General features: G+C 35.5%; 5 annotated features.

Annotated features, from left to right (window-relative positions):
* Window positions 11,829–12,368: an enhancer, noted in NCBI's record as "H3K27ac-H3K4me1 hESC enhancer chr13:63086916-63087455 (GRCh37/hg19 assembly coordinates)". NCBI's record gives its function as "activates a minimal SCP1, AML or CMV promoter by ChIP-STARR-seq in naive H9 embryonic stem cells {active_cell/tissue: H9 hESC(naive)}" and the evidence as "EXISTENCE:reporter gene assay evidence [ECO:0000049][PMID:30033119]".
* Window positions 11,829–12,370: a biological region, named in NCBI's record as "H3K27ac-H3K4me1 hESC enhancer GRCh37_chr13:63086916-63087455".
* Window positions 12,301–12,370: an enhancer, noted in NCBI's record as "active region_7808". NCBI's record gives its function as "activates an Ori minimal core promoter by ATAC-STARR-seq in GM12878 lymphoblastoid cells {active_cell/tissue: GM12878}" and the evidence as "EXISTENCE:reporter gene assay evidence [ECO:0000049][PMID:35858748]".
* Window positions 12,471–12,610: an enhancer, noted in NCBI's record as "active region_7807". NCBI's record gives its function as "activates an Ori minimal core promoter by ATAC-STARR-seq in GM12878 lymphoblastoid cells {active_cell/tissue: GM12878}" and the evidence as "EXISTENCE:reporter gene assay evidence [ECO:0000049][PMID:35858748]".
* Window positions 13,954–14,013: an enhancer, noted in NCBI's record as "active region_7806". NCBI's record gives its function as "activates an Ori minimal core promoter by ATAC-STARR-seq in GM12878 lymphoblastoid cells {active_cell/tissue: GM12878}" and the evidence as "EXISTENCE:reporter gene assay evidence [ECO:0000049][PMID:35858748]".

The following is a 21,012-nucleotide window of genomic DNA, read 5'->3' as shown; positions in this document are numbered from 1 at the left end:
GTCGAATATTTACACTGCTCCTTCATCAGCAAAAACACACACCTCACACCTGCAGTGATTTATTTTTCTGTTGAACCTCTACCCAATTAACAACCATTAAGATTCACACCTGTGGTGGCTTTAGCCTTTGCCTACTGCTCAGAATTGAGCTTTTTAACCCTTCATTTTGACTATATTACATGATCACTTTTCCTAGCAGGCTCAGTCTTTCAAAGAGAGCTTTTCTCAGTATTTGCTTGCATTCAAAGCTGGGAATTCACCACAGCTGGGAACTGAAGAGGCTATTGGTTTTTTCTGGAATAAGAGATGAACAGGTGGTACTCCCACCTGCTGCAAGTCTTTGAATTTTTTTGTTTGGCTCCAAATTGTTCTTGGACCTGGTTTTTAAAATGTTCTCTTGCATTAGAAGCAAGAGAGGAAGAGAAAACAGGCCATGACCAGTTTTGTTACTAATGTTCTTATTACAGACATTCTCTGGTTGGTAATTGCTGGCATATTGAAATAAATGGGTGCATTGCTTTCTGTACCGGGTGTGGGTGGAAAAAAAGCAAACAAATTCAACCATAGCATGGCTACTTTATTTTGAACATTAAAGAAGATTTAGCCAATCAAATTGAGTGACATTTTCCCTTTGGGAAAGTTAGCAGAAGTCTATTTGTAGCTGGCAATGAAAATGTTTCTGGACAGACAAGCTTTTGTTGTGATTTTTCACTGTTATTTCTTTTACACAGAAGAAGGCACTTAGCTACTATCTAATTTTGGATATATCTGTTCTGTTCTTTTAGTTTATTTAATGTTTTGGTTTCTATTCTCTAATGGAATGGAACAAATTACTCAAAAATACTAGTACTACTCAATTTGAAGGCTTTTATAGACACAGTAAACCGTTATGGTCAACTCAGTCATAATTATAACCTGCAAAGTAAGTTGGGGCTATTTTTGTTCTGAACAAAACTGAAAATATACTGTTAACCATGGTTGTTTCTATTCTCTCGCTATCCTGCCTCTAATAATTTTCAATGAACTGCACTGAAAATATCAATACAGAGTAGCTTTTATTTAATATGCCTAAAAGTGCTATTTGTGTATTTGTTTGTAGAGTTATAGACAATAACCATATAATAAACATATGGTTAGCTATCTTTGATTTTTTAATATATTTGTAGCTATATATGTATATAGCCATATGTAATATAGTTATAGATATATAGACACATAGATGTCTAGATATATGTCTACATATATATTCAAATTGTATGTATTATACATTAAATATATGTATGCATACAACATTGTTAATTTAAAATATGTAAATGTTATAGCTAGAAAGAATAAACTATAGTGTGTTCTAAAGCACTGTAGGGAGACTATAATAACGTTTTATTTCAAGTATTGTATACTTAAAATATTATATATGGGGGAGGACAAGACTGAGCAATTAAAAAAATCTTCAAAATTATCTGGCTTACAATTCTCTTTTCAGTTTTCTTTTAAGATTTTCTTATGGAAAACTGTGTAGCCAACTGTATCATCCATTTGACTACTGTGATGGTTAATTTCATGTGTCAATTCGACTGGGTCATTGGGTGCTGGGATATTTCTGTGAACCTTATTTAGATGTTCCTGTGAGAGTGTTTCTGGATGATCTATCATTTTCACTGGTAGACTAAGTAAAGCAGATCACCCTGCCTTTGGTAGTGGGCTGCATCCCATCAGCTGAAGAGTGAATTTGAACATTCCTAACACAAATAAATGATAAATGTTTGAGGTGATGGACATGTTCGTTAACCTTATTTGATCATTACACATCATATACATGTATCCAAATATCACAAAGCACCTCATAAATATGTATAATTATGTCAGTTAAAAATAATAGTAAAAGCCAAACAAGCATACATGGAAATCCATACAGACGACTCTAAGTAACCTAATTGATTCAGACTCTAAGTCAATTTTACATAAATTATTTTCCAGCATGCTTGACATTTAAAAGACATTCAATATCAGGTGTGGTGGCATGCGTCTGTAGTCCCAGCTACTCAGGAGGCTGAGGCAGGAGAATCACTTGAATCCAGCAGGCGGAGGTTGCAGTGAGCTGAGACCCGTCACTGCACTTCAGCCTGGCAACAGAACAAGGCTCCATTTCAAAAAACAAATAAAACAAAAAGGCATTCAATAAATGCCAAACTATACTATCTCTTTGATTTTCTCTTTTAAAATCTGTCACTACCTATTAAATATCGCCTCTTTGAAGACACAATAGTCTATGTGGTAGGTACAATTATCTTATTTTTCATAGAAAGAAATCAAGGCACCTAGGTAATGTCTGAGGCCATATTATAGGTCAAAGGCAGAATTGGAATTTAATGACCTACACCTCTGACTCCTTAGCTCCATGGGTCTTTCAGGATATTATTACCTCCAAATCTTTCAGGGAACCTTAGAGCTTTAGGTGGACACCAAGGAACATAGTAATATTTTTAGAATAAACATTCACCTTCTTAAAAAGTTTAAATTATGGCTAAATAGAAAGTGACTGTAAAAGTGTGATATTGTAGAAAAAAAGGTAGCAAAGGCTTTTGAATGTGTATGCTGAGAAAGTAAGAATAAACCTGATTTCTGAAAAGTTAAGACAAACATTGAGCAGACAAAAGGACAAGGAAGAGAGCGTTCAAAAAAAGTTTTGTTAATAAGTTGAGACTCGATGATGGAACTTTGAAACACTTTTTTGAATTGCCTCCTATCCACAGTCCTCTGAGTTTCTTGTTTCCTTCTCTCTACACGTTCTCATATTTCACTGTTTTTTCCTCCTCTGTCAAATATTTATTTCTTTTTTATTCTTCTGTGTTTAGACTTAGACTTCCTTCTATTTTTACTCTACATAGTATTTTTCATATGTGATATAATCTAGTTCTATAATTACATTTTGATATGTAGATAAAATATTCAAGGAAAAAACACTGTGACTAAAATGTTCAGCCTGGGATAATAAGACAATGCAAGCAATTTAATATAGTTTCAAACAAAACTGAATTCCCTTTCATTTTGCATATATATGACATATCTTTCTGTTAAAAAGTTTTGTACATTGTAGCTCTTTCTACATCATTTTCTTCACAATTTTATAAAATGCATCTTTTTTTTGTTTGTTTTTTGAGATGGAGTCTCGCACTGTCGCCCGGGCTGGAATGCAATGAGCAATGGTGCAATCTCGGCTCACTGCAACCTCTGCCTCCTGGGTTCACCCAATTTTCCTGCCTCAGCCACCAGAGTAGCTGGGATTACAGGTGCACACCACCACACTTTGCTAATTTTTTTGTATTTTTAGTAGAGACGGGGTTTCACTATGTTGACCAGACTGGTCTCGAACTCCTGACCTTGTGATCCGCCCTCCTCGACCTCCCAAAGTGATGGGATGACAGGCATGGGCCCCTGTGCCCAGCCACATCTCTTTTCATTTGTACCAATCCCTATCCTCTCTCCCTTGTATTTTGTACATACCTTGCACTTCTTTCAGTAATCCTACCCATATGCTTCACAACCTTCTTGATGTATTCTTTTATTTCCATTCTCGTATTTTCCATCCCAGCCAAAATGCATAACTAGTTGGACAAAGTAGATCACTTTTGTATATGTATGGATGAGGAAGATTTTGCAGTGGGAAAGACATAAAACAACTTAGATTATAGGGAGGAACAAGACTGAGAAAAACAAAAAACAAACAAACAAAAAAAACTTCCAAAATTCTCTGGCCTAAAATTCTCTTTTTCTCTTTTCAGTTTTCTTTTAAAATTTTCTTATGGAAAACTGTGTATCCAACTGTTTCATTCATTTAGCTACTGTGATGGTTAATTTCATGTGTCAATTTGACTGAGCAGTTAGGTACTGGGATATTTCTGCAAACCTTATTTTAAATGTTTCTGTGAGACTTTAACATTTACACTGATAGACAATGTAAAGCAGATTACCCTCCCTATGGGAATGGGCCTTATCCCGTCAGCTGAAGGCCGGTATGAAGTAAGACTGACCCTGCCCTGAATAAGAGAACATTCCTCCTGTCTGAACTGAGACCCTGACTTTTCTTGCCTTGAGACTCAAACTGAAACACTGATTCTTCCCCAGTCTCAAGCCTGCCAGCCCTGGGTTTGAAATTACACAATCAGCAGTCCTGGATCTCCAGCTTGCTGATTATAGATCTTAGGACTTAGCAGCCTCCATAATTGTGTAAGCCAATTCCTCATAATAAATCTCTTGATTTTTGTATATACTTCACTTGATTCTGTTTTTCTGGAGAACCCGGACTAACACAGCTACAGATAACTTCAAATGTAATTTGCCTAAAGATTAACTAATTATCCTTTCTTCAGACTTGCCAATATTTATAGATCAGTAGATGGTATCATGATTCATTCAGTTGTTCATGATATCACCTCCTTCAACACTTCCCTTTCCACCACCTACCCCAATTAGTCTAGATATTCCTCTGATCATCCCTCTTTCAAATTACTTACATGTTTCATCTGATTTATTGTATACACTTTTTAAACTGATTACCTGAATCCATTTTTGCCCCCCTCCAACCAGGCTCCACACAGCAGAGAAGTTCCTTACAAAAGAAAACTGACAATTTTACTCTCTTGCTTAAATTCCTTCAATTGTGTTTCACTATTTTGGAATGAATTTGGAAGCCCTTATTACCTACAAAGTCTTGCATAATCTATCATCTCCCTGCCACACTAGTCTCACTTCATGACATTCTGTCATTCCTGCTTTATTTTCCAGCCACATGCATCTTGTCATCTTCTGCCTCTTCACCTTTATGCATGCTCTTTACATAAACAAAGCTATTATTTTTTAAAGATTGTTTATGACCTGAGTAAAGATAAAGAAATAAAAACGTTTGAGGCTACTGCCTAAAATTATCTTTTTCTCTTGTGTTTTTACTTCTTAATTCAATCATCTTTTTCTGAGGTCCCAGTTTAAAAAGTATCTTCCTGAGGAAGCCTCCAAGGATGCTCAGATGGTTTGTTTCCTTCTTATGTATTTCCACAGCAGCTTGCCATTTTCTTTCTCAGCATTTTGTTTAGGGATGATGATTGAGGAGCAATTCTCCAGAGTTTCTATACATCTTCATAACAACTTTATCGTAGACTATCTTTTCAGGATGTGTGCAAAGCAAACAGCCTTGGAAGATGAATAGGCTCTTCCACTGAAAGAGAGGGCAGACAGTTTTTCTTACCAATGTAATTTAGATAATATCCCTCTCCTTGCTAAGGTGGGACAGGTTGCCAGATACCCCTTATATAAAATTGTGGCCTCTTCAACATAATGAACCTAGAAAACATTATGTTAAGAGAAACAAGCTAGTCATAAAAAGACGTGTATTTTATGATTTTTACTTACATGAAATGCCAAATACTGTAAAATCTGTAGAGACAAAAAGTAGATTGGTGGTTGCCTAGGGTTGTGGGAAGAGAGTTGGTTAATGGGGAGTACTTACTGAAGGGTATAAGGTTTATGTAGAGGGTGATAAAAATGTTCTAAAATTGATTGTGATGGTGATTACATAAAGCTGTAACATATAAAAAAAACTAACTGTTCACTTTAAATAGATCAATTGTTTGAAACATAAATTATATTTTAAATAGAGCTGTTTTTTAAAAAAATGTGTTTATGATTTGAATAAAGATAAATAAATAAAAATGTCCTGGACTTCATAATCTCCAGGTTCCTCAGGTATACAGCAAACCCACTGTTTGTGTAGCATCTAATTGGGACCATATTTGCATAAACCCTATGAGATGTGGGTGTGATTGAGTAGGGAGAACTGCTGTGAACAGGATGCTCATGTTGCCTGCTGTGCTGTAAATAATAGTAATTTTTCCTTTACCCAGAAGTCTCACACCTTCTACCAGGATTCAGGAAACTCTGACAGGGGAAATTACTAGGTCAAAAGTACAGTAAAATCTCAGACCCTTCATGGTTTCTGACAGCCATCGTGTACTTAATTTTTGTGTGTATTCTTTAATATCTCTTTTCTGTGGCATAAACTTCTCTGTCCTTTTTCTCACACAGTGTGTAACAAAGAGCAGGCAATTAATAAACATTTATTGACTGACTGAATAACAACAATGTTGAAGTAAGGAAGAAAAGTCGGGAAAAAGCTGATAGGTAGGTGTGCCAAATGACTCAGAAAGTAATCTAATTTTTCTTTATTGAAAGCATTATTAAATATTAATGCCCTTTCTTCAGTTGGGTGCGGTGGTTTACACCTGTAATTCCAACACCTTGGGAGGGTGAGACAAGTAGACTGCTTGACCCCAGGAGTTCAAGACCAGCCTGGGCAACATGACGAAACCCCATACCAAAAAAAAAAGAAAATACAAAAATGAGTTGATGTGGTGCTGTGCACCTGTGGTCCTAGCTGTTTGGGAGGCTGAGGCAGGAGGATTGCTTGAGCACAAGACATGGAGGTTGCAGTGACCATTGATGACACCACTGCACTCCAGCCTGGGCAACAGAGTGAGATCCTGCCTCAAAACAAACAAACAAACAAACAAAAAACCCGCTTTAGATCTCTAACAGACATGTCAAATACTTTAATTTTTTTTTTGAGATGGAGTCTTACTATGTCACCTCGGCCGGAGTGCAGTGGTGTGATCTCAGCTCACTGCAACCTCCACTTCCTTGATTCAAGCAATTCCCCTTCCTCAGCCTCCTAAGTAGCCAGGACCACAGGTGTATGCCACTACACCCAGCCAATTTTTTTTTTTTTTTGTATTTTTAGTAGAGACCGGGTTTCACTGTGCCAGCCAGACTGGTCTTGAACTACTGACCCCAGACAATCTGCCTGCCTCGGCCTCCTAAAGTGCTGGGACCACAGACGTGAGCCACCATGCCTGGCCATACTTTAATATTTTAAAAAATCTGGTTCGCATAATGATCCAGAAACTCCCCATTAGTGCCATATTATTTAATAGACCCAAACAATTTTTTTGCATATAAAATACGTGTCATCCTTTTACATTATTCCCTTGTCTCACTTTTGTCCCTAGGGAGCAGTATAATCACTATAGTTTGTAAATTGTAAAGTTGAAGTACCATGGCATTTCACCTATGGAGAAAAATCTTTATGAAAAAGGTGACAGAATTGAGCTGGGCTTTCTAGCAGCCATAGAATTTTGATTCAAGATAGGAGGTAGGAGGTTAAAAGGTAGGAAGTTGGCAGTCATAGAGAGCAGATAATTAAGGTCAATTTAGCCCGGTTTGGCTACAGCTCAGAACAACTTTAACAAAAAAAAGAATGAGATTGTGACAGAAAGTTATATTCAACTCTTATTTATGTTGGCTTTCAATGAAAGTTTTGGTGTTTGGTTGAGTCTATACTTTCCTTACTGCTCACATATACTAATAATTTGTACATGGAAAGGCAAAAGAAAAACAATTTCAAAGTGAAAAATATAGCTGAATGATAGAAAGGAAGTTTCTCTGATAAAGTCAGACTCTCTTAAGTTCGTTTTGAAGGCACATTTTTTTTTCCCACTCTGCTGCTTTGCTATTTCCAGTGACATTAGGGGACCATTAAGAAAAATACTCCATAAGATAAGCTTATCTTCTTGCTCACTACCAAATTCAAACACAGAGTATGCCTGTGAACAACTGCTAATGATTTTTTCTTTTGCTTTGCCTCTTGTACTAAAACTCTGTGAAAGACACAGACCCACTGTCAATCAGAGGGTACAGAATTTAGAGTTACTTTGTGATACAGGCTTGAAAAGTATGGTTTCTATGCAAACTTAAAGTGATAGTTATCCATATACTAGCAATTATCAGTGGAAATTTCAAGATTGCCATTGTAGTTTTATAATGAGAAGGAAGATGACAGTGTGTGATCCCATCAAAAAATTGAAAAGGAGAGAAAACCATCACCTGATTATTTTGAGATGGAAATTAATGGTGGTGGTGACTACAAAAAATGATCTAAGAGAACAATGTGTATCATGTTCTTGATACTTAAAGTTATTTTAACAGATTTAGAAGATGATATTACTCTAATGCATGCAATGATTAATAGTATAATTTGTAAAGTACTACCATTCTATTCTAAATTCAAATCCATTTTATCATTGAAAATGTTATAATGAATAAGAAATCATTTAATTTAAAAATCAGCTGCTTAAATCTAAACCCCTATGGAAGCAATAATAATAATTTATATTTATCTAGTTATTATTTTTAAGTTTTCTCAAGTTTCAGATCCTTTGCCTTATGCTTTTCATATAATATTGCTAAAGTAGTCACTTAGCTTGGATACCTTTCACTTCATTTATATGTAAGAGAAGAAAAATATCATCTTTAATTGCAGGAAATTAACAATATTTCTAAAGAGTTTTATTTTTTATTGCATTTATTTTGTCAAGTCTGTCTGTATATATCCTACTCCAAATGTTGTAACTCTTGAGCCAGGTACTATTTGTTTCTTAAACTATTATTTCCATAAATAGTACATAACACATAAGCAAAGTCCACGTTGCTCTTGCTTTGAAGTTGACCTTGGCATAGAATTAAATTTATAAATATCCCAGTTCAATAATGTAATTGCAAAACCATTTAGCTTTAGCAAAGACTCTCAGAAACACAAAAAGGGGATGCCATTTACATGATAAACAAAATATTTTTAAGCCCATTTTTGTCAATATCTCTCTTCTTCCACCATTCCTCCTACATCTGTGTATTTCATACCTATGTATTACAGAGACTGCCTTAAATCTCTCAGTTCTCTATTTCAGAACTTTCTCAAACTCTCTAAATTTACATTACCTTTTTTCATTTTCTACACCAACCACCTACCTTCTATTCATTGCCCCCAATCTGCACCTTCCAGGATACAGGATTTTCTATTATACCTTTCTTATACAGTGCCTGAACTTTCTTTCCTATGTAAATTAGTTTTGACTTACTCACTTTCCTGTGTCTCTACTTCATTCATTACTCTGATCAAAATGAGCTGAGGGAGAGAGTAAGTCTGTGAATAAACCAGACATTAATTATCACCTCCCCTGATATGTAGGTAGTAGCAAGTGGTAATACAATATTTTGTTTGGTTACTATTACTGTTGGTACTATAATTGTTTTAATTTGACAAAAGTACCTCCCATAATAAATAGCAAAAACTAGGATATTCTGAAAATAGGAATGTATTTTATACATTTGTTAAATCCCAAGTATCATACAATTAGCATGGCGTATGTGCTAAATTAACTGTAAAGTGTTTTTAAATAGTTTTTATGCAACCAAATGTTTAAAAATAATAAAAGAAGAGGAAATAAAACCATGTGGTAATTTAGACTTTGAACATGGGAACTTCCATTACCTGGAAAGGAAAGAAGGTAGTTAAACATTAGATCCTTACCATCTGTGTTTCACATGTCTTTTAATGTAAATTAATGGTCATGTTATCCTCTTAAACCATTTCTAAGTTTTTATTTGAGAGTCCACCATAGGTTTCTGGACTATAAATTTTGAAAGGTGTTCATTCATTCATTTATGAATCTAATAATATTCACTGGGTACTCACCATTTGTCAGGCACAGTAATGAATATAATTTACACAGTGGTCAACAGATACAGATGAAGATTCTACTTTCAAAAAGCTTTATTATACAGGAAAAAACATGAAAACATTTTCCAGACTGGCAAATCACTTGCAAATGACAAGGATACTATGGTCCCTATGAAAATTAACCCCTCTGAAATGGAGAGCTGACAGGGAGTAGTGCCACAAAAAGGAAAAATATGTCATCAATAGTGAAAATATTTAACACTTATTGAGAAATTACAATACACCTTGGTATAATTGAGGAAGTAGCAAACATTGCTCTGGAGTATTTAAATTTATTAAATTATTTAATCTTCAAAACTCAATGAAATGTTTACTGTTATAAACCCAAATTTGCAAAGGAGGATACCACAACCTAAATAACTTGCAATCTATTTAATTGTAATAACTTTTAATAACAATACTTTATTGTTTGAATTCAAACCCAGACAGTCTGCATTGGAAACTTCCCTTTCCCATCCCCTAAAAAAACAGGTCTCAGCATAATATTAAAATAAAGTAGAACTAATGTGATATGTTTGTATTTTGCAATATAGGCTATTACTAATAAAATTTATGAAAGCAAAATGGCAAAAAACAATTTGTTTGCAAGAAATAGAGGAATTGGGGCAAAATATAGGCTACATTTTCTAAAACTTCAGTAGCAAAAGGGAGAAGGGAAATATAAAAGTCATTATCTTAAACAGAATAATACACCATGAGTGACATGTTGTCTTGTTTCAGTGGAAAAATTATTTAATATAGGAAGATCCTCCTCTTTATTTGAGCTAAAATTACCCCCAAAAAAAGAGAGAATAGAAAGAGAAGGAGAGGAAACACTACAATTACTGCTAAAACACAAAAATAGTCATTCAATAAACAAACCTATAACTGCTCTTAAAAAAAAAAAAAAGTCTTTAAAAAAAAAGACTAGGCCAGGTGTTGTGGCTCATGCCTGTAATCCCAGCACTTTGGGAGGCCGAAGCAGGTAGATCACAAGGTCAAGAGAAAGAGACCATCCTGGCCAACATGATGAAACCCCATCTCTACTGAAAATACAAAAATTAGCTGGGCATGGTGGCACATGCCTAGTATTCGGGAGGCTGAGGCAGGAGAATCGCTTGAACCTGGGAGGTGGAGGTTGCAGTGAGCTGAGATCGCTCCACTGCACTCCAGCCTGGCGCCAGAGCGAGGCTCTGTCAAAAAAAAAAAAAAAAAAGACTACATTAAATATATTAAGTTGAGCCAAATGAAATTGATATTCAACTCTTCCTGTCCTTCAAGAATGGCACTTTTGTACGGTTTAGCCTAACAGAAAAAATTGTAGATTAAGAAGAGATACTAGTTCCCAGAAAAAATGATATACTTTATACTTAGGAAGAAATAAGAAAATAATCTATGAAAGAAAGAAGAAAGAATAAGTTTATTTTAAAACATAGTACCAATTTATTTATTTATATTAATTTATTTGCAATTGACAAATATTTGTATATCTTTATGGGGTATAATTTATTTATATTAATTTATTTGCAATTGACAAATATTTGTATATCTTTATGAGGTACAATGTGTTGTTTAGATCTACAAATACATCGTAGAAAGATTCAATCAAACTAACTGTAAAAAGAATGCCTATGAAGAATGAGATAAGGAATTTTCTAGGCATGAATAAATAAATTGGGACAGGAAATTGAAAAAAACTAAATGTGAATTACAGTAAATTTTAATACAGCCAATATCAGAGTTTTATGAAGTTTTCTATAGGGGCTCAAGATTCTAGTAGCAGGTGACAAGATAATAGATAATATGACCTTTTGGTCAAAGACCTATAAGCCTATTAGCTAAGTTATAGTGATGCTGAATTTCTAATTACACATATAATACTTTTTAAGCTACCATTTTTTGATAGCTATGTAGGAGGTTTTATATATGCCCTTTGCAGATAATCTAATGAGTATTGTCACTCCCAGTCTTGCCTCCCCCTTATCCAATTTCTATACTGCAGCCACAGTCATATTTTTATAATATAAATCAGATCAAGAGACTTTCCTGATTAAAACTCACTCTCCTCTCTCCCTTTCTCTTATGTCTTTTTCCTTGTCCTTCTTAAACCCAATGTAGGCAGATTGAACATTTATTCACATTTTCAAAAACTCCAAGCCCCTGACTAACTCAGGTGCTTAATACATGCTTATTTTCCTAGGACCCCACTCTTCTTTTCACTACTGGGAAACTGGCTTTATCCTGGACCTTCAGTTTCAGCTTAAATATCCTTGCTTCATAGAGAAAATATTTAAACACATGGTCAAAGAAGATTGTTTCTATTCCTGATGTTCATTGGACCCCAGTCGTATCCTTACAGAACTTCTCATTTATAGTTACATTCACTCCTCAGCATCATTGGATTAGTTCCAAGACATCCCACAAATACCCAAATCTGCTTATTTTGAAGTCCTTTATATGAAATGGTGTAATATCTGCCTATAAGCTATGCATATCTTCCCATATACTTTAAATCAACTCTAGATTACTTACAATAGCCTCCCTACCTGCCAGCCCTTCCAGAGGCCCCTGCCTGGCTGCTCCTGCAGGAGCATGTGCACAGCACAGCCTCTGCTGCCCAGCCTGGAAGTTTTACCAGTGGCCCCACCTGAGTGTTTTCCCAGAGGCCTGGAAGCACTTTGGATCCCCCAGCACAACCAGTGCCCAACTTCAGGGTGGCAGAATACAGAGCCATGGGCTCAGTCCCAGTGCCTCAAGATTGCAGCACACAGCTTGGGAGTGTCAAGCTGCGATCTGTGGCTGGTGCTTGAGCGGACAGGGGAGACCTCAGTCTCAGAACACTGAAAAGGGATGAAAGATGTGTGGTTTGTGGGCTGGCAGAGTAGCAGAACATGCCTCCCCTCACAGGGCTGGTCTGGGAAGGATGTAGCTAGCTTTTCTGCCAACTGCAGGTTTTGCCCAAGGGAGCCCCGTAGCCCAGAACATCTAACAAAAGAAACACATGTAAAGCACCAGTAATCACAAGAGGCTTCCTTAAGGCCCAGGAGTGGACCTGGAGAGGAGAGGGGGTCATGTCTCTCCACAACCCACCACCCCCGGCCAGCCACAGAGAGTGCTGCAAACGCACTGAAATACAGAAAAGACACGTGGCTAAGTAAGCCTATCTGCTGGCCATTACTCTTCAGTGCCACCTACTGGATGGCAGCCTAAATCTCACAACCCAAAGACTATTCCCAAAATATACATTGCCTGTGAAATCTAGGGCTACAATCTCACAACAAATACACGTTCCATACAGAGCCTTGGCCCTCTGAAAGCACCCAGAAATGAAGCCAGCTGAGTACACTCAACCTATATTACAGTTAAACCCTCAAGAGAAATAAATAATATAAAACCAAAAGCCCCATCCAAATGACAGCTAATCAAAAAGAGGAACACTAGCCCTCTTGATGAGAAAGAATCAGTGAAAGAACTCTGAAAATTCAAAAAGCGAGAGTATTCCCTTACCTCCAAAAGAGTGAAACAGCCCTCCAGCAGTGGTTCTTAACCATATTAAAATGACTGAAATGATAAACATAGAATTCAGGATCTGGATAGCGAGGAAGCTCACCAAGATTCAGAAGAAAGTTGAAACCCAATCCAAGGAATTCAATAAAATGCTCCAGGAAAAGAATCCAATAAAACACTACAGGAATTGAAAGATGAAATAGCCTTTTTTAAGAAAGAACTAAACTGAGTATCAGAATTTAAAAGTTAACTGCAAGAATTCCTTAATACTGTTGGGAGCATGAATAGCAGAGTAAACCAAGTTGAGGAAAGAATCTCCAAGCTTAATGACCAGGTCTCCAAAGCAAGTGAGACAAAAAATAAATAAATGAATAATTTTTAAAAATGAGCAAAACCTCTAAGAAATATGGAATTATTTAAAGAGACCAAACCTATGACTCAATGGCATTCATGAGAGAGAAAGAGAACAAGCAAGTTGTAAAATATGTTTGCAGATAGAGTCCTTGAAAATCTCCCCAGTCTTGCTAGGGAGATTGACATGCAAATTTTAGGAATACAGAGAACCCCTGCAGGATACTGTAAAAGATGAACATTCCCAAGGCATGGAATCATCAGGTTCACCAAGGTCAACAAGAAAGAAAAAATCTTAAAAGCAGCTTGACAGAAGGGTCGGGCCCCTTTTATAAAGTGAACCCCATCAACTTAGCAGTGAACTTCTAAGCAAAAACCTGAGAAGTTGGAAGAGACTGGGGCCCTACTTTCAGCATCATTAAAGAAAAGAAATCACAACCAAGAATTTCATATCCTGCCAAACTAAACTTCATAAGCAAAGGAGACATAGGATCCTTTTCTCACAAACAAATGCTAAGGGAATTTGTTACCACTAGACTAACCTCACAAGACGTACTTAAGGGAGTGGTAAACATGAAAATGAAAGCACAATATCAACTGCCACCAAAACACAGTTAAGCACTCAGCACACAGACACTCAAAGTAAATACTCAATCAAGTCATCAGATCTACAAACAACCAGCTAACAACATGATAACAAGTCAGAATCTCATATATCAATACTAACTTTGAATGTAAACAATCTAAATGTTCTGCTTAAAGGCATAAAGTAGCAAATTGTATAAAGAGACAGGACCCAACTGTGTACTGCTTTAAAGAGACCTATCTCATATGTAATGGCACCCACAGACTCAAATTAAAGGAATGGAAAGAAATCAATCATACAAACTGAAGACCAAAAACAGCAAGGGTAACTACTCTTACATCAGATAAAACAGACTTCAAACCAATAACAATTGAGGACAAGGAATTAGCATTACATTACATAATAATACAGAGTTCAATTCAACAAGAAGACTTAGCTATCATAAATATATATGTACTAAACACTGGAGCACCCAGATTTATAAAACAAGTTATTTTTGAGCTACAAGAAGACTTAGATAGCTACACAATAATAGTGGGAGACTTCAACACATTACTGAAATCATTAAACAGGTCTTTGAGACAGAAATCTCACAAAGAAATTCTGGACCTAAACTCAACACTTGACCAAATAGATCCAATAGACACCTACAGAATACTCCACTCAACAACCACAGAATATACATTCTTCTCATCTATACACAGATTGTGCTGTATGACTAACCACATGCTCTGCCATAAAGCAAGTCTCAATTAATTCGAAAAAACAGAAATCATACTAAAGACACTAGTGGATTAAGGTGCAATAAAAATAGAAATTAATACCAAAACCATCTCACAAATCCAAACAATTACATGAAAATTAAATATTTGGCCCCTGAATGACTCTTGGGTGAACAGTGAAGTTAAGGCTGAAATCAAAATATTCCTTGAAATTAGTGAAAATACAGACACAACATACCAAAATGTTTGAGATGCAGCTAAACCAATGTAAAGAGAAAAGCTTATATGCAAAATGCCTACATCAAGAAGTTAGAAAAATCTCAAATGAACAGTCTAACATCACACTTACAGGAAGTAATGAAAAAGAGAACAAATCAATTTCAAAGCTAGTGGAAGAAAAGAAATAACTAAAATCAGAGAAGAACTGAACAAAATTGAGACATAACAATCCATGCAGAAAATCAATGAAACCAAAAGTTAACTTTTGGAAAGAATTAAAAAAATGATAAACTGCTTACTAGATTAACAAAGAACAAAAAAATAAAAAGAGAGAATTTACAAGTAAGCACAATCAGAAATGACAAAGATAGACATTACAAGTGATCCCACAGAAATACAAAAGATCCTCAGAGACTATTATGAATACCACTATACACACAAACCAGAATACCTACAGGAAATGGGTAAATTCCTGGAAACACACAACCTTCTAAGACTGAAATAGGAAAAAAAAAACGAAAACCTGAACAGACCAGTCATGAGTTCCGAAACTTAATCAATAATAAAAAAAACCTACCAACCAAAAAAAAGCCCTGGCCCAGGTAGATTCATAACTAAATGATATCAGAACAGAAAATAAAGCATTGTTACAAATCCTACTGAAACTATTCCAAAAAATTGAGGAAGAGCGTTTCTCCTCTATTTCATTCTATGAAGCCAGCATCACCCTGATATCAAAACCTGACAAAGATACAACAACAACAGTAACAACAAAATCATAGACCAATTACGCTGATGAACATAGATGCAAAAATCCTCAACATAATACTAGCAAATTGAATCCAGCAGCACATCAAAAAGTTAATTCACCACAGTCGAGTAGGCTTCATTCCTGAGATTTAAGTTTGATTCAACAAAACAATAAATTTGATTCACCACACAGAATTAAAAACAAAAATTACATGATAATCTGAAGATACTAAAATAGCTTTTGATAAAATTCAATATTCTTTCACAATAAAATCCCTCAACAAGCTAGCCATCAAAGGAATATTCCTCAAAATAATAGGAGCCATCTGTGACAAACCCAGAGCCAACATCATATTAAACCGGCAAAAGTTAGAAGCATTTTCCTTGAGAACTGGAAGAGGATAAGGATGTCCACTGTCACCACTCTTATTTAACCTAGCAGTAGGAAGTCCTAGCCAGAGCAATCAAGCAAGAGAAAAAAATAAAAAGCTTCCAAATAGGAAAGGAATTCCTCAAAGTATATCTCTTTGCTGATGATATGATTCTATACATAGAAAACTCTTAAGACTCTGCCGAAAGGCTCCTGGAACTGATAAACTTCAGTAGAGTTTCAGTATACAAAATTAATGTACAACAATCAGTAGCATTTCTAGACACCAATACTGTTTTAGCCAAGAACCAAATCAAGAACACAATCTCATTTACAATAGCGACCAAAAAATAAAACACCTAGGAAAACATCTTCTTTCTTGTAGAAAGATCTCGATAAAAACAAAACAAAACAAAACAAAACCTACAAAAACACTGCTGAAACAAATCAGAGATGACAAAAATAAATGGAAAAATCATACTGCCAAAGCAATTTACAGATTCAATGCTATTCCTATCAAACTATCAATGACATTCTTCACAGATTTAGGAAAAAGACTCTTCTAAAATGCATATGGAACCAAAAAAAAAAAAAAAAATCCCGAATAGCCAAAGCAATCCTAAGCAAAAAGAACAAAGCCAGAGGCATCACATTACCCAACTTCAAGCTATACTACAAGGCTACAGGAACCAAAACATCATGATACTAGTATAAAAACAGATACACAGACCAATTGAACAGGCTAGAGAACCCAGAAATAAAGCCACACACCTACAACTATCCCATATTTGACAAGTTCAACAAAAATAAGCAATGGGGAAGACTCCCTATTCAATAAATAGTGCTAGGGTAACTGGCTATACATATGGAGAAGAATAAAACTGGACCCCTACCTTTCACCATATACAAAAAAATTAACTCAAGTAGGATTAAAGATTTAAATTTAAGACCTCAAACTGTAAAAATCCTACAAATAAAACCTATGAAATACCCTTATCAATTTTGACCTTGAAAGAATTTATGGCTACATCCTCAAAAGCAACTGAAACAAAAACAAATATTGACAAGTGGGACCGACTTAACTAAAAGCTTCTGTACAGTAATAGATACTATCAATGGAGTAAACAGACAATCTGCAGAATGGGAGGAAATATTCACAAATGATGCATCCAACAAAGGTCTAATATCCAAAATCTATAAGGCATTTTAATCAACAAGCAAAAAGCAAATAACCCCATTAAAAAGTGGGCAAAGGACATGAACTGGCACTTCTCAAAAGAAGACTTACAAGCAGCCCGTGAACATGAAAAAAATACTTATCATCCCTAAGCTTCAGAGAAATGCAAATAAAAACCACAATGAGATAGGATCTTATACCAGTCATAATGGCTTTCATTAAAGGAGAAAAGAGGGCTCTTACACACTGTTGGTGGAAACGTAAATTAATCCAGCCACTGTGGGGCAGAGTTTGAAGATTTTTAAAATAACTGAGAGGTGAGCTACCATTTGACCCAACAATCCCCTTACAGGGGAAGAAAAATAAATCATTTTACCAAAAGGACACATGCAACCATATGTTCATAGCAACACTATTCACAATAGCAAAATATTGAATTAATCCAGGTGCCCATCAAAGGTGAATTGGATAAAGAATATTTGTTACATGTATACTGCGGAATACTATGAAGTTATTAAGAAGATCAAAATCGGCCAGGTGCAGTGGCTCATGCCTGTAATCCCAGCACTTTGGGAGGCCGAGGCAGGTGGATCACCTTAGGTCAGGGGTTCAAGACCAGTCTGGCCAAAATGCTGAAAACCCATCTCTACTAAAAATACAAAAATCAGCCACATGTGGTTGCGGGCACCTGTAGTCCCAGGCTGGGCACAGTGGTGCAAGCCTGTAGTCCCAGCTACTTGGGAGGCTTGAACTCAGGAGGCAGAGGTTGCAGTGAACCGAGATCACGCCATTGCACTCCAGCCTGGGAGACAGAGGGAGACTCCGTCTCAAAAAAAAAAAAAAAAAAAAAAAAAAGAAGAAGATCAAAATCACATCCACTGCATCAACATAGATACAGCTGGAGGTTACTATCCTAAGCAAATTAATGCAGAACAGAACATCAAATAGTGCAGGTTTTCAGTTATAAGGGTAGCTAAATATTGGGTACTTTTGCACATAAAGATGGGTACAACAGATACTGGGGACTACTAGAAGGGGAAGGGAGAGAGGAGGGCAAGAGCTAAAAAAACCTACTTATTGGATCCTGTGCTCACTGTCTGTGTGACAGGTTCCCAAACCACAGCATCATGCAATATACTTTTGTAACAAGCCTCCACATGTGACCCCTGATTTTATAATAAAACCTGAAAAAAATACTGGGCCATTGTAAGATAGCCTAGGTAATGCCAAGCTGCTTGGCCTTCCTAGTAGATGGTGAATTAGTTTTACAAGTTGACATCTCTAGATTTACATATTAATTATTCAGATTTCAACTGGTAATAAATACACATTTTAAACAAAATAAAATTTTACACTCACGTCTTCAGCTTTATTTTTATCTTTTTTTTTTTAATTTAAAAATAGACACATTCAACCTGAAGAATCTGCCACGCTGAAATGATCTCAGGCTTTGAGATTTCCTAAGCTATCCTTTGAGACTTACATACGCTGAACATCAGGTAGCTAATGAGCTTTGGGCAACGTAGGCAATAATTCCTTTTCCCTTAATAACTACACCACATAGTATAGGAATTTAAATAATATGACATCACCTTCTGCTTGTGGATGTCACTGATAACGTGTCAACACAAAGAAATGAGTAAAAAATACTTTGTTCTTTTTAAATAGCAATCTACTCCATAGTAGTTTTATTGAACAGTAAGGAAATCTTACATCATTGTTTTCAGAAGGAAAGGATGACATCGGAATAGGGCAGCCAGTAGAGAATTTGTCCAAATCACTAGGGCCTCCTCCTGACCTTCACCAGGAAGGATGCTTAATTTTACAACTGTTCATTTGTGCTGTCACTATGCAAAAAAAAACACCAATTGAGGGTAAAGTGATGAGCTGGTTCGGTAAGTCTTAGAAAAGAGCAGATTTATCCAATGCCTTAGCGTGTACTAAAATAAATGTATGTATTTTTTCAATTTGAAAAACAATATACAAACTATGTAAAAGGAGTCAAAATAAAGTGTCAAAGAGTTACAGACTCCCTATTTGTCCTGGAATATATTTTTCTCTACCTGTTTTACTGAAAATTTTAGTTTCTCTTTTTACATATGTTCTTATCTCAATTCAGATGAGGTCTATTGGTTAGGAATTATGATAAATTCCTTTTATCATAAAAGGAAGATCTATTTTGGCTCTTTTGAAGCTACCAATCATGGGAGCACAGCAAGTATTCAAGGATAAAGTTGACTGACCACAAACTCCAAATATTGCTCTGAGCTCAGTTTCTAAACTATTTTTCTTTTGTTCTTTGTCCCAACTTGCAAAATACCTCATTTTCACTACCATTTATTGGAACTCATCTATTGGCCTGATCATTGAATGAAATGTTTCTTCCTGAACCATCGATATTTTAACTCTTGTTTCTAATTATACAGAGTTACTAGAGGGTGAAAGTGACTCTTTGGGAAGTTTTCTTCCCTCTAAACTGAATTGATGCCAATTCCAGGGGGTTTTGCTCTACCTTCTGCTCCTACCATAGGTTTTGTACCCCTGTTATATGTTAATTTATACTTTTCTGCCATTGTCCTAACTTTATATAACTAAACCTTTAATTATTAGCACCAAATATTACTGAAATATGACACCAATAAATGATATTAAACTCCCTGCAATAAAACAAACAGAACTTTATATTTGAGTAGCACCTTTTAGTCATTTTGCTAACATGGGCTGAGTACAAAATTATCAAATAGTGCACACTAAATCCCCATATCTTAGAAAGAATGGCTACTACACACATATTGTTTGGTCAGCTACCAAAAATTAAAAAAGCATAGTAATTTATCAATTGTCTTTAGAAACATACATAACAAGCTCAGAATTCTGGGTTCCTTGTAAGAGAGAACAATATTGGCATTCTGTAACTGAAATAAAGCTAATGATCCATTACGGGATTGAATGTTTTCATCTGAAAATTACCATTCAAATTTATTTTCTTTCCATCTCAGTACAATGCTCATCTCAGTGGTAGGAAACAAAGAAAACAAGTAGCACTGGGGACTTGGAAAAAAAATCACTTGAATATATCTAATTTACATTGGTAATCATATCCTGGAAGGTCCGATCCTCCCATTTTAACTCTTTCCTTTTATACTTTTATTTTAATGATCTTAAAAATATGTGGTCTGCGTTTATTTTTCAAAATCTATATCTTGTTTAGCATTCAGAGGGGATTAAAACAATTTAAAGAGAATCAGTCCGTATTTACATGGACACGGCCTACTAATTTTTGAGTCTCTTTTGTATGAAATTAGCCACATATTGTTCTTTTATTACAGTTGATTCAATTGACTTTTAAAAAACATAGATTTGAACTGCACAGTTCCATTTATAGGTGTACACAAGTGAAAATATAGTATTTGTGGAATGCGAAACAGGTGTATAAAGAGAACCAATTTTTCCCATTAGTGGGTTCCACAAGAACCTGAGCATACATGTATTTTGATATCTGAGGGTTTCCTAGAACCAATCCCCTGCCAATACCAAGGGACGACTACATATATTTCACTAAAGAAAATTTCTGATCTAAAAATAAGCCTCAATCAATGTATTCCTTTAATTCTTGATTTTAGATTCTACACTCATGGAAGCATAAATATGTATCTTAAATATATAATTTACTGCAGTTTTAAAAATTATTTCCAATAATTAACTAAATTATATTTTTAATGTGTC

This window comes from Homo sapiens, chromosome 13 (genome assembly GCF_000001405.40).
Source record: "Homo sapiens chromosome 13, GRCh38.p14 Primary Assembly".
NCBI classification, from domain to species: Eukaryota; Metazoa; Chordata; class Mammalia; order Primates; family Hominidae; genus Homo; species Homo sapiens.
The sequence above is the reverse complement of the archived record's forward strand: the minus strand, read 5'-3'. Positions and strand labels throughout refer to the sequence as shown.